Genomic DNA, 13,209 nt, shown 5'->3' with positions numbered 1-13,209 from the left:
AATCCCTTAACCTCTCCATGCTTTAGTTTCTCAATTTGTACAATGGGAATGATAATTCCTATCATGGGATAGCGCTTTGAAAATTACATGTGAAGTACAGTTTGAGGCCAGGCACAATGACTCATGCCTGTAATCCCAACACTTTGGGAGGCCAAGGCAGGCAGATTACTTGAGGTCAGGATTTCAAAACCAGTATGGCCAACTTGGTGAAACCCTGTCTCTACCAAAAATACAAAACTGAGCCGGGCGTGGTGGCAGGCGCCTATATTCCCAGCTACTCAGGAGGCTAAAGCATGAGAATCGCTTCAACCTGGGAGGTGGAGGTTGCAGTGAGCTGAGATGGTGGCACTGCACTCCAGCCTGGGTGACAGAGCAAGATTCCATCTCAAAAAAATAAAAAAGTGTAGTCTGACAGTTATTAATAATTCCCCTCTCCACCTCTCTGCCTACCATGGTATTCATTGTGCAGTTCACTTCTCTGCCCCTTAACTGCCTCATCTCTACATTGCATGAATCGGAAACAGTGCAGCTAAAACACTCGCTCAAGCTATGGCAAGCAGAAAGCATTCGGTAAGTATTAGCTATGGTGATAAGAATGAATTTGAATGCCTGGAGTGGATACCATGATATTATACTCAGGTTCTGCTTTCAGGGCAGACACTCTTATTCCCCAGCTGCTGCACCCTTCCTTGGAAACTGCCCCTTGCCTCGATTAGAGACACCTCTGAAGGGACATCCAGTTCTGGTGGTGCGAGTCAGCCTTTCCTCTGTTGAACTTTGGCTTTTTTGCATCCTCAGGTGTATCTTCCCAAAGCACACTTCGAAAGACGTTCTGCTTGCAATTCTCTTTTGCAGAGCTGACTTCCAGGGAAACCAACCTAAGATAGTACCTATATCATACAGGGTGCTAATAAAAAGTAATTGACAACAGTAATAATATTCTCCAAACTCAAAAAGACTATGGTATTTTTTAGGAAACTACTGGAAGCTTTAAAACATTGTTGGCTGGACTGTGCATTCTTTGAATACATGGATTGTGTCTTGAATGTCTTTATGTTTCCTCCAAGTGCCCTGTAGATGGCAGATGCTCCAGAAACATTTGACTTGTACAGGTTCTATTTCCATTTAGCCCAGAATCAAATCAATCTGCATGGGTCCAGGGGGTACAAATTTCATTTCCACGGTGTTGACACATGTGACTCATAACTGGAACACACAGAGGCTCAGCAATAAGGAACTTTATAAATGAAATTCCTCTGACAGGACAACTTTGTAAAACTGGGCCAAACAAATCACATCAGGAAGTGGGTTATATATGGGCTATGACTGTCATTAATTCTTTTTAAATTAAATATTAAATATGTAACAAAGCCCACATCTGTAAATACAGGTGTTACTGACCTGATCCCCAGCATCCTAGCAAGAGGGGCATAAGCTCCTTGGGGGCCAGCCAATCCCCAGCAGCAGGCTCCTTTCAACACCTGCTCCCACCCCATGCCTTGACCAGGATGACACAGAGAGCCAGTGGCAGCACTTGGAATAAAAGCCAGCTCCCTTACTCCCAAACCTGTATTCTTGGGTTACTCTATACCCTCTATAAACTGGCTCCTCTGGAAATGTACGGATACAAGAAAAGAGGAAAGGCACAAGCATTGCTCATTCAGTGCAAAGAAACAGGTTAGCTCCCCACTCTTGCTATCCCTCAGGAATATCTCTGTGGAGACTACAGGGTGAAGAGAAGTTGAGAAAAGAGGTGTCATATGAAGAATGTGTAGCTGCCAATATTGCATCAGCTTATTCAATTCAAGGTGAATCTGGTTCAGTCTGAAGTCTTTGGGGCTACACTGGGATGAACTCTTTTAGAATATCAGACAGATTTGTTGCTGTTGATACCATCTCCTGCACTTCGTGCCCTAATTCTGAACTCCCCTGAAAATCTGAGTTCCAGTGGGATCTTGAGATCTACTTGAAACCTGAGGTAAATCTGATCTCCCTGGGCTTATGGAGTCTTCAAAGGGATCTAGGAATGCCCATGTGGATCATGTGTCTCCCACAAAGGATCTGTCAATGCAAAAAAGTGGTCAAGCCCGGGGTTCCTCAGCTCTCTACTTTCAGCTTGCAATGAGGGAATAAAATGGGCATTTTGCCAGTTGAGCTTTCAGTCTAATCCCTGGAAGCTGAAGATCTATCTCCTCCTCTTCCTCCCTCAGGTGCTCCAGGGTTTACTTCACACTGACAAGCACCATCCCACTGAGGGGGCAGGCAGGAGGCCTATCTCACCACCCAGCCATACTGCAACAACGCCCTCTCCTTCTGGGAATACGGCCCAGGCACTCCTCTGGAATCCTGAACACACTCCAGGCACCTCTCTTCTTGCTGAACACCACCTATGCTCAGAGCACGATGCTGGGGGAGCACACTGTGAGAGGACACCTCTGGTATCAGGCAACTTAAGATATATTCAGAGAGACTGAAAACTGCAAGGATTCAAGGCATAGCAGATGATATACAGGCAAGAAAAAAGACATTTAGAGAGGGGGATAGAGCCTGAAGGTTTGAATGGTCCTACAAGACTTTCTCAAAAGTCATCACCCTGGACCTGAAACATCAGAGCTCTTTCCAGAGTAAGTCTATTCTCAGAGGTCTCCAACAACAGCCCAGACTAATCAGCACACAGCCTGGGCTGCAGGACTACCTATAGTTACCTAATTAACTGAGGATCATGCACCTGGCTGGCAGCTCGGCCACCCTGGGCACCAGGCCGAGAAAGCTCCCCTATTCTGCAGCTATGCAGCGTCAGGCCAGGTTTGTTTGTTCTTGGAGAGTAGGCCTTCAAAGAGCCCTGGGGCTGAGGGTGAAAAACCCAGGGCTCCTGCCAGCCAGGCCTTCCAGCTGCCTGAGAGCAATTTCAGAAGGTGCTGGCCAGCCTGGCCTGGGAGGAATTAGGTCAGGGTCAGAAAAAACAACACTTGGGAGGTAAGCAGAACTTGAAACCAGTACACATGGACAGCCTCTGTTGGAGACCTCTGGCTGAGAATAGACTTACTCTGGAAAGAGCTCTAATGTTTCAGGTCCCAGGGTGACGACTTTTGAGAAAGTCTTGTAGGACCATTCAAGCCTTCAGGCCCTATCCCCCACTCTAAATGTCTTTTTTTCTTGTCTGTGTATCATTTGTTATGCCTTGAATCCTTGCAGTTTTCAATCTCTCTGAATACATCTGAAGCTGCCTGATACCAGAGGTGTCCTCTCACATGGTGCTCCAAGCATAGGTGGTGTTCAGTAAGAAGAGAGGTGCCTGGAGTGTGTTCAGGATTCCAGAGGAGTGCCTGGGCCGTATTCCCAGATGGAGAGGGCGTTGTTGCAATACAGCTGGGTGGTGAGATGGACCTCCTGCCTGCCCCCTCAGTGGGATGGTGCTTGTCAGTGTGAAGTAATTGACAAATGTTTTCTTTTTAAATAATAACCAAAGTAAGAGATGAATGAATATTAGGTTTTAAGGCGGGGTGGGGGGGCATGTTAATTACACTGCTTTGTCCCATGCATGAAGACAAAGCCCTCAGGAAGAGGTGGAGAGTTCATCTCACCTGGCACCACAGAATTGTTTTCTAGCTGGTTTGAACAACACTATGGCAAGACAGTAGCAGAAAAAGTGTACTAATCTGTTCTTAATTTCTAGGTACTTATTTTGTCTTTGTACATTAAATTACAAAGGCAATATGTATACAACTGCATACAAAGATGTATATAGAAAAAGTTACTTGCCCCCACCCTCCCCCCATTCCCATCCTGCTGTGGTAAGTGCTTATGGCCCGATGTGTTTTCTTCCCACCTATCTTCATGCACATTCAAACTTACACATAGCATTTTGCTATTTTTTTGAATGGGATCATACTATACACATTACTCTGTAACTTGCTTTTCTTATTTAAAAAACACACTGTGAATGTGCCTCCAGGACAAGCACCTAGATCTAAACTCATTAAAGTAGACCCACACAGACGCACAGAACCACAGGTAGGCAACATTCCACTAATCTTCCTACTCATGTTAGCCAATCTGATGGATAAAGAATTGGTCCAATTTATTGCTTTAATTTGCATTTTTCTGAGTTTTAGCATCATTTCAGGTGTTTATTGGCCATATGGTTTGCCTTTCCTTTGAATCGCTTACTCTCTTCCTTTGTCCATATTTCTATATGTTGTCTTTTTCTTATAAATGTATAGAGGCTCTTTATATATACTTATATTAGAATTTTTTTCACGTGTCATTTTTCTCAGTGTATTAATCATTTGTTGACATTACTTATGGTGTCCTTTACCATAAAAAATTTGTAATTTATATATAATCATTTTTAATGTTACTAAGTCAAATATGAGAGTTCCCACTAAAACTGAAAATATTCATGTTTTTTCCCTCTCAATCTTATTTAGGGGTGCCCTCCTACTTCATGAATATAGATTGAACTTACAGATTGAAGTAAGACAATTCACACTACAGAAACTCCACAAGTGTATTTGATAGAAAAGTTGGAGAGAAATAATAGTGAAATAACCCCTCCCTGGCCATTAGAAAAATACATGTTGCAAACAACTTTTCCCCACAACTCACTCCATGTAGAAGGCTAAGCAAAGAGCATCAGCTGCTTCACTGCTTGTCCTGAGACTGAAACTCCTCAACACCAAAGTCCTTCCAGTTAGTTAATCCCAAACCTGCCTCTGATCCTGGTCTTCCTTGGATGGGCATCACCCAAGCAAGCACCTCCTCACATCTTCAGATCCTTCAGTAACCCCTGCCCTGGGAAGCCCTCCCCAGACAGAGGGACTCCGTGCTACCACAGCTTCTCTGTACTCCTAGGATTTGCATTTACCATTTCCTACGGTAATTGTTTACCTGTCATTCTTACTTATATTCCCAGTCCCTATCACTGGGCCTGAGACATAGTATTTACTCCTTAAGTAGTTGCTGAAAGAAAGTGAGCAAAGAAAAAAAGGCAAGAAAATCAAGAAAGAAGCACTAAAATCCAAATCTGAATGTTAGCAGTTAACTGCCAACTCAAGATCAATCAGTAATGAATGTTAAACACTGCTGAAATTACAGGGAAAGTTAATGAAGGAGAAAAAAGGATTCCATTTACAAAAAGCTGATTGACACACAAGATTTCAAGAACATGCCTGGTTCCTAAAGAAAGGCCCGCCTACACTTCGGGGTTGCAGGGCTGTCTTTCTCTCGCTACCATATTTCACTCTAGGACAAATGGGTTTTGGTCAAAGTCTAAATATTCACTTTTTAGACTCCTAATGAGTTTTGGAATGATCACTATCATTCAGCCCTAACTGCAGCCAATTTTCTCTGAGTTAATCTTGACATCAACACCCCACCTAAAAGCCTTTTCTATGATAAAAAGAAGATTCATGTGATAGCATTCACACTTCAAGCTCACATCTTCCAGAAGTGATATATTTTTGAATTGACTATAAGACTACAGAGAAGGCACTGGCAATGAGCTCCTGGGAGAAAGAATTTCAATTTTTTAATAGAAGAATGATAATTTAATTATACAGAGTCCTTCTTGAGAAACAGAGCCACTGTATCCACTCTGTAAACCCTGGACATTTACTCTGACTTGGTCTCATAAGGTCCCTGAGTGTGAGTTTGCTGACGAATCTAAGAAAATGGAAAGTTCTGAGGCACCCCCAGTGATCAGTCCTGAATCAGCAGCTGAACACGTGCATTTGCAGTAGGGCAATCGAGGTTCTCACTTAGGACAGGTTCCAAAGGTTATCGACATTGACTCAAGAGACACACAGTCCATCTCAACTTCTTCATCTCATTATCTCATCATCTTCAATAGCTTCTGGGTGATTTTTTTCGCTTTTAAAAAATATGACTTAACTAATCCTATTTTTTAAAACTCTAGCTTACAGCATTAAAGAATATTTCCAATGATCTCAAATGCCAATTTCACAATACAGAAATAATTACTTCCCTTTAATACTAAAATGAATATGAACTAAATGCCAATAACATGGGGTGGGAGACGGTTAGAAAGAGAAAGCAGAGGTGGGTGGAAAAGACATGACACTAAAACAATGAGATTATTGTATCACAATTCTAACAAGTTTAGCAACCTGTAGCCTCACCCACTGAATAAGCATGTTAGTGACACAATTTAAACCTTAATCTTCCTAATTTGTAATAATTAAGAACACCTGGGAAGAAGCCTGGTGCTTATACAGCATTCCCTTACCCTGAACCACTGTGCTGCCCAGTGAATTCCCTCTGACCCTCCTGAAGCCAACATCAGTGTTCCCAACACACTGTTCTCATGGTGGCCTTCCTCTGCTTAGAACCCTGCAGTGGCTCTACTTTGCCCACTAGTTAGACACCATGACACAACAGTCTGGGCCTCATCCATTTACCGAGCCTTATCTCCCCCCACTCCTAAGGAGGATCCCTCTCAGAAACATTCACGGTCCTTTGATAATGCATTACATTTTCCAGATACAGGTACCATTTCCTCTTCCCAAGATGCCCCATTTTCATATTCTGTCAATTGATAACTCTTCCTATAAGACCTAGTTCAATAGCTTTCCCTTCTGTGAAACATCTTGCTCTGTGAACAGCTCTCCTTCTTGAATCAGTTACTGGTAACCCCTGCAGTACCTGTAACATTGTAAGTGGTAAATAAATATTTATTGAATGAAATGGATAAATGTTCACTGAAATGAACTGAATTTTGAAATTCTTCCTTGTTCTTTCATCTTGCTAGAGTATCTATCATTCTTTTTTATAGGATTTGTTTCTTCTAACTATAAAAGTTATATATGAACATTTAGAAGTACAGAAAAGCATAAACGGGAAAACAAAAATTACCCACAATCATTACCTAGAGATAACCACTCTCATTACCCTTTTAATTGCACATTTTACACCAATGCAATTAAGAAAATTTGTGTAGTATGGAAGTCCTACGCCCTGGGCATGTTTTCCTGAATTTAGATCAAGTAGCATACTCTACACTAACCCAGCATTTGGTTGACCAGAATCTCTGCTAATGAGCACTCCTACTTAACAGTACAATGAAAGCAAATGTTCTTGGTGATGACTACAGAGCCCCATAAGTTTCTGAAGTGCTTTCTCTTCATGAAAGAGAAAGTGAATCATAAATTCATAGAGCTTTACTGCTCGGAGGGACCTCAGAGAACGTCTATACTTACACTACCTATACTTCCTCCTCTGCATTTGCTGACATGACTAACAATTCCAGGTACTTTTCATAGATGGGTTTGGACATGGTCTCAGAATCTTTCTCCAGTAAACCATGTCCATACACTGAAAACTGCATGCAAGGTAAATCTAGTTGTCATCTGAGAGTCCATGGCCTCACCTTGTAAATGGTGAAAGGCCCTGAGAGAGGCTGAGTAACTTCCCAAGGTTCAAAAGTCCATGAAAGGCACAGCAGAAAGCAGAATTCTCTAACCTGGCTTTAGTGTTCTTTTCTTTTTTTCACACATCTAAGACACGAGATTAGTTCTACAGGCATACCTCATTTTACTGTACTTTACTGCACTTCGTTTTATTGTACTTTACTGCACTTCACAAATGTTGCATTTTTTACAACCCTGAGTCTAATAAGACTATGGATGCTATTTTTCCAACAGCACATGCTCGCTTCGTGTTTCTGTGTCACATTTTGATAATTCTTGCAATATTTCAAAATTTTTCATTATTATTATATCTGTCATGGTGATTTGTGATCAGCAATCTTTGACGTTACTATTATAATTGTTGTGGGGTACCATAAGTCATGTTTATGTAAGTTGGTATGCTTAATTGATAAATGTTGTGTGTTATGACTGCACCATTGACCTGCCATTCATTCCCCCATTTCTGTCCCTCTTTTTTGGCCTCCCTATCCCCTGAGACACAACAATATTGAAATTGGGCCAGTTAATAACCCTAAAATGGCCTCTAAGTGTTCAAGTGAAAGGAAGAGTCACACTTCTCTGACTTTAAATCAAAAGCTAGAAATGATTAAGCTTAGTGAGGAAGGCATGGCGAAGGCTGAGATAGACTAAAAACTAAGCCTCTTACACCAAATGGCCAAATTGTGAGTGCAAGAAAAAGTTGTCGAAGGAAATTAAAAGTGCAACTCCAGTGAACACATGAATAAGAAAGCTAAATAACCTTTTGCTGATACAGAGAACGTCTGAGTGGTCTGGATGGAAGATCAAACCAGTCACAACATCCCTTTAAGCCAAAGCCTAATCCAGAGCAAGAACCTAAGTCTCCTCAATTCTGTGAAGGCTAATAAAGGTGAGAAAGCTGCAGAAGTTGGAAACTAGCAGAGCTTGGTCCACGAGGTTGAAGGAAAGAAGCCGTTTCCATACATGAAAGTGCAAGGTGAAGTAGCAAGTGCAGATACAGAAGTTACAGCAAGGTTTCCAGAAGATTAAGATAATTGATAAAGACGGGTACACTAAACAACAGATTTTCAATGTAGATGAAACAGCTTCATATTGCAAGAAGCTGCCATCTAGGACTTTCATAACTAGAGACGAGAAAATCGTAAGTAGAGAAGACGACGTTTGGCTTCAAAGACTCAAAGAACAGGCTAACTCTCTTGTTAGGAGGTTAATGCAACTGGTGACTTTAAGTTAAAGCCAATGTTCATTGGCCATTCCAAAAATCCTAGGGCCCTTAGGAGTTATGCTAAATCTACTCTGCTTGTGCTCTATAAATGAAACAACAAAGCCTGGATGACAGAACATCTGTTTACAGCATGGTTTCCTTAATATTTTAAGCCCACTGTTGAGATCTGCTTCTCAAAAAAAAAAAAAAAAAAAAAAGATTCCTTTCAAAATACTGATAATGCACTTGGTCATCCAAGAGCTCTCATGAACATGCACAAGGAAATTAATGTTGTTTTCATGCCTGATAACACAACATCCATTCTGTAGCCCATGGATTAAGGAGCAATTTCAACTTTCAAGTCTTATTACTTAAGAAATGTACTTCATAAGGCTATAGCTGCCATAGTGATTCCTCTAATGGATCTAGGCAAAGTAAACAGAAAACTTTCTGAATAGGATTCACCATTCTAGATGCCATTAAGAACATTCATGATTCATGGGAAGTGGTAAAAATATCAATATTAACAGACATTTGAACAAAGTTGACTCCAACCCTCATGAATGACTTTGAGGGGGTTCAAGACTTCAGTGGAGGAAGTAACTGCAGATGGGGTGAAAACAGCAAGAGAACTAAAAATAGAAATAAAGCCTGAAGATGTGACTGAATTGCTGCAATCTCATGATAAAATTTTCATTGATGAGGAGTTGCTTTTTACTTTTTGAGATGAAATCTACTCCTGTAAAGATGCTGTGAATGTTGTTGAAATGACAACAAAAAATTTAGAAAATTACATAAACTTAGTTGATAGAAGAGCAGCAGGGTTTGAGAGGATTGACTTCAGTTTCAAAAAAAGTTCTACTGTTGGTAAAATGCTACCAAACAGCATTACATGCTATAGAGAAATCTTTCACGAAAGAGTCAATGGCTGCAGCAAGCATCATTCTTCTCTTATTGCTATAGTTTGGAAATTTGACCCTCCAAATCTCATGTTGAAATTGGATCTCTAGGGTTGAAGGTGGGGCCTAATGGGAGGTGTCTGGGTCATGGGAGTGGATCTCCCATGAATAGCTTGATGCCTGGTGCCATCCTAATGATGACGAGTTCTCCATTCTTGCTCTATTAGTTCTGTCTAGAATTTTTAAGAGCCTGGTACCTCCCTCCCCACTCTCTTGCTTCCTGCTCTCACCATGTGGCAGGCTCCCCTTCGCCTTCCACCATGAGTGGGAGCAGCTTGACGCCCTCACCAGAGGCAGACGCCAATGCCATGCTTCTTGTATAGATTGCAGAACTGTATGGCAAATAAAAAGCTTTTCTTTATAAAATATCCAGCCTCAGGTATTCTTTTATAGCAAGAAAAACACACTAAGACGTTTTAAGACACTGCCACAGTCATCCCAACCTTCAGCAACCACTACTCAGATCAGTCAACAGCCATCAACATTGAGGCAAGACCCTCCACTAGCTAAAGATTAAGACTTTCTGAAGGCTCAGATGATTGTTAGCAATATATTTCTTATTTAAGGTATGTAGATATGTTTTTTTGACACGATGTTATTGCACACTTAATAGACTACAATATAGTGTAAACATAACTTTTATATGCACTGGGAAACAAAAATTTGTGTGATTTACTTTATTGTCATTCACTTTATTGCAGTGGTCTGAAATCAAACCTGCAATATCTCCAAGGTATGCCCATATATTGTTTGAATTTAAAATGTATTTTATTGCTGTTCAATTTTTTCAAAATTTGTAATCTACGAAATCTATATAATGTTATTTAACAGTAATTTCTAAATTTATGGGCCCAAAAAATACCCATCCTCAAATTATTTAATCATTTAATCATTCAGCAAACATTTGAGAACTTTTTCTGTGCCTACTCTCTGTTAAATTCCAGCAAACAAAAATTATATAAAGTGTGGTCTTTTGTCCTTAAGGAACTTATTTTGTTATGTATATGTGTACATTAAAGATTTTAAGGTACACTATAATACATACCAAATAAGTAATACAGATGTCAAATGTTACACAAATTTTGAAAAGGGGTTTACCATTGTGGGCCAAATTAGTTAGGGAGAGCCTTCTGGAGATGGCGATTTTAACTGAGGGGTTGCATAATTGGAAAGGTGGGAATGGGGTTGGGGAATGTTTGTTGAATGACCAAATGGACTTCAATTGCAGCTGATGATGATTAATAATCATTGTGTCCCAGTTATAGTATCTGATTTGAGAAAAAATGATTGTTTTTCTTTTCCTAATTAGCCTAATAAAAGAAATTAGAAAATTTCCTTCACCACAGGAAGTCCAACTGTGAGGGTGTGTTGCTGCTGAAAGGTGCCCAGAAAAAGCTCCTAAGCATAAGTGGGCTGTCGCGGTTTTTTTAAGCAACACTTCAGATCTCTCCCTTGCATCTTCTGGATCCAGGCTCAAATAGACTTCCAGAAAAGGTGAGGGAAGGGAAGTAGAATTAGGAGAGCAAGGACAACAGGACAATGAAATGTGGAGTGGGAAGAGCTTCCCCAGGATTATGATCGGAATTGTGTCTCCCACCAAAATTCACCCCAAGGCCATAACTCCCACTATATTTGGAGACAGGGCCTTTTAAAGAGGTGATGTGGTTTAAAAATCAGGTCAATAGGGTGGGCCCTAATCCAACCTTACTGGTATTATTACAAGAAAAGTAAACTTGTACACAAAAGATGCATGCACACAGAAAAAGAACATGGGAGGACACAGCAAGAAGGGGGCCATCTGCAAGCCAAGGAGAGAGGCTCAGGACAAAACAAACCTGCCAACACCTTGGCTCTAGGACTCCCAGCCTCCAGAACTATGAGAAAGTAAATTTCTGTTTAAGCCAGTAGTCTGTGGTGTTTTGTTATGGCAGCCCTAGCAAATATACCCACCAACTACTCTAACATTACCTTCATAATCAGAAGAGGTTCCATCATGAAAGGGCCCTGACTCAGTGAAAGAACAGCCCTCTACTAAGCCAAAAGCTGGACTTCCCAGAGTTCCAAGCAATTACAGAAGACTCGCAGGGGAAGGAAATGAAAGATCTAGCCTTGGATATGCCAATGCTTCCTACAGCATAACCTAGGCATGGAAATAGGCATGAGGCAGCTCTGATGGACCAGTGCCATGGAGAGTTGGTGGAGTCCCTGTTGACCTAACTCATCCAGGAGCAGGGAGTAGGGACTCTGCTATTCTTGCTACTCAAGGACAGTTATTATGGCCAGGGGCATTCTTGGCAGTGACAAAGACCCCATACTGGATGTCTTAGCTCGGCAGGGTCTTGTATGCCCCTTGAGGAAGGGATGCACTCATGGCTGCATCAGGTATGACCCTCGCCACAGCTGACAAAGCTGGCTCAGTAACTAGAGGTTCCCCTACCTATGTATTGTAGAGATACTGAGCTTGGCACAGTGCAAGGCTAGGTAGCACAATAGGTCACTCAGTCTCTCGGCATCTTGGTTTCCTCATTGAAATTGAAAGATGGCTGATAACACTAATTTCATAGGGTTGTAGTAAAAAAAACTCGTGTGATACAGTCATGCTTTAAGCCATTAAGGAGCTCCATAAATGCTAACTAGTTGGCAGTTATTAAATTTATTCACTATATCTCATTCTGCTTATCTATGTTCTGTCCTCCCTTATTGACAGGCTGACTTGCAATGTGGATATGTGTTTTATATTCACAGATATACCTGGGATTATTACTGTTGAATTTTTTTCTGTCTCCCTTTTACATGTATTAGAGAACCACGGACATAGTAAGCATTTACCAAGCACCTAATTGGTGAATGTACAGTCGACTCTGTATGTTTGAAAATGACTCCATGTCTTTCTGTTAACCCATACTGAATTACCTTTAACACTCTCCACTCTTTTCCTGGTTTATGGTTTTCCTTCACTTCCCCACCACAAGTCACCCCATAACCCAAGCCATCTGGCACATTGTTGCCAAGATATCCTTCTAGAACACTATTTTTAAAACATCAACCTCTCATCCAAAACCTTCTATACCTCCTGATTGCCCATGGGGCAAAGTCCTAAGTCCTTGGTTTGACATTCAAGGCCTCACATTGAATAGCAACAGCCCACACATTTTTGTCACTGCTTTCCTAAATGAATCTTCCACTCTGTTCAGTGTGATCTCAATGATGCCAGACGATAAATATTTCCTAAATAAGTAGATGGATATTTGACTAGCATCAGCCAAATAAACTTTCCATGTATTATGTAACTCTATCTCCTTGTTTTTTTCCATGCTTTTTTTCCCTCCTGGAGTGTCTTTCCATCTTGGGGCCATACACATGGATTGTGACATTTATGGTGCTGTTTAGAGTTGTTTATGTACAACCTGCACAACCACACTAGGAAGCCCTCTTCCTCTTTACTTATTTAAGTCTTCCCACTCCTCAAAGGTCAGCTCAAGCCCAATCTCCTATGTGAATGAGCCTTTCCTGACTTTATGGCACCTAGGATTTCACTCAGAATTTCTCATGACTCATATGAACTATTTCATGCCTCTGTTGTCTGGCACCTTCCATCTTGCATTACTATTTGAATTTT

At 41.1% G+C, this 13,209-nt stretch overlaps 1 protein-coding gene across 14 annotated transcripts in view, besides 2 other annotated features; it reads right to left on the bottom strand.

Moving 5' to 3' along the window:
* Window positions 1–13,209, bottom strand: part of CACNA1E (calcium voltage-gated channel subunit alpha1 E) — a 490,386-nt gene that overhangs the window by 174,188 nt on the left and 302,989 nt on the right. The window lies entirely within an intron of this gene.
* Window positions 4,601–4,877: a silencer, noted in NCBI's record as "fragment chr1:181598156-181598432 (GRCh37/hg19 assembly coordinates)". NCBI's record gives its function as "represses an EF-1alpha promoter that drives an FKBP-Casp9 reporter gene in an ReSE screen in phorbol 12-myristate 13-acetate-treated (for megakaryocytic differentiation) K562 erythroleukemia cells {active_cell/tissue: K562(+PMA)}" and the evidence as "EXISTENCE:reporter gene assay evidence [ECO:0000049][PMID:32094911]".
* Window positions 7,229–7,278: an enhancer, noted in NCBI's record as "active region_2194". NCBI's record gives its function as "activates an Ori minimal core promoter by ATAC-STARR-seq in GM12878 lymphoblastoid cells {active_cell/tissue: GM12878}" and the evidence as "EXISTENCE:reporter gene assay evidence [ECO:0000049][PMID:35858748]".

This window comes from Homo sapiens, chromosome 1, assembly GCF_000001405.40.
Source record: "Homo sapiens chromosome 1, GRCh38.p14 Primary Assembly".
In the NCBI taxonomy this organism is placed as follows: domain Eukaryota; kingdom Metazoa; phylum Chordata; class Mammalia; order Primates; family Hominidae; genus Homo; species Homo sapiens.
This window is presented reverse-complemented; position numbering and strand designations above follow the sequence as displayed.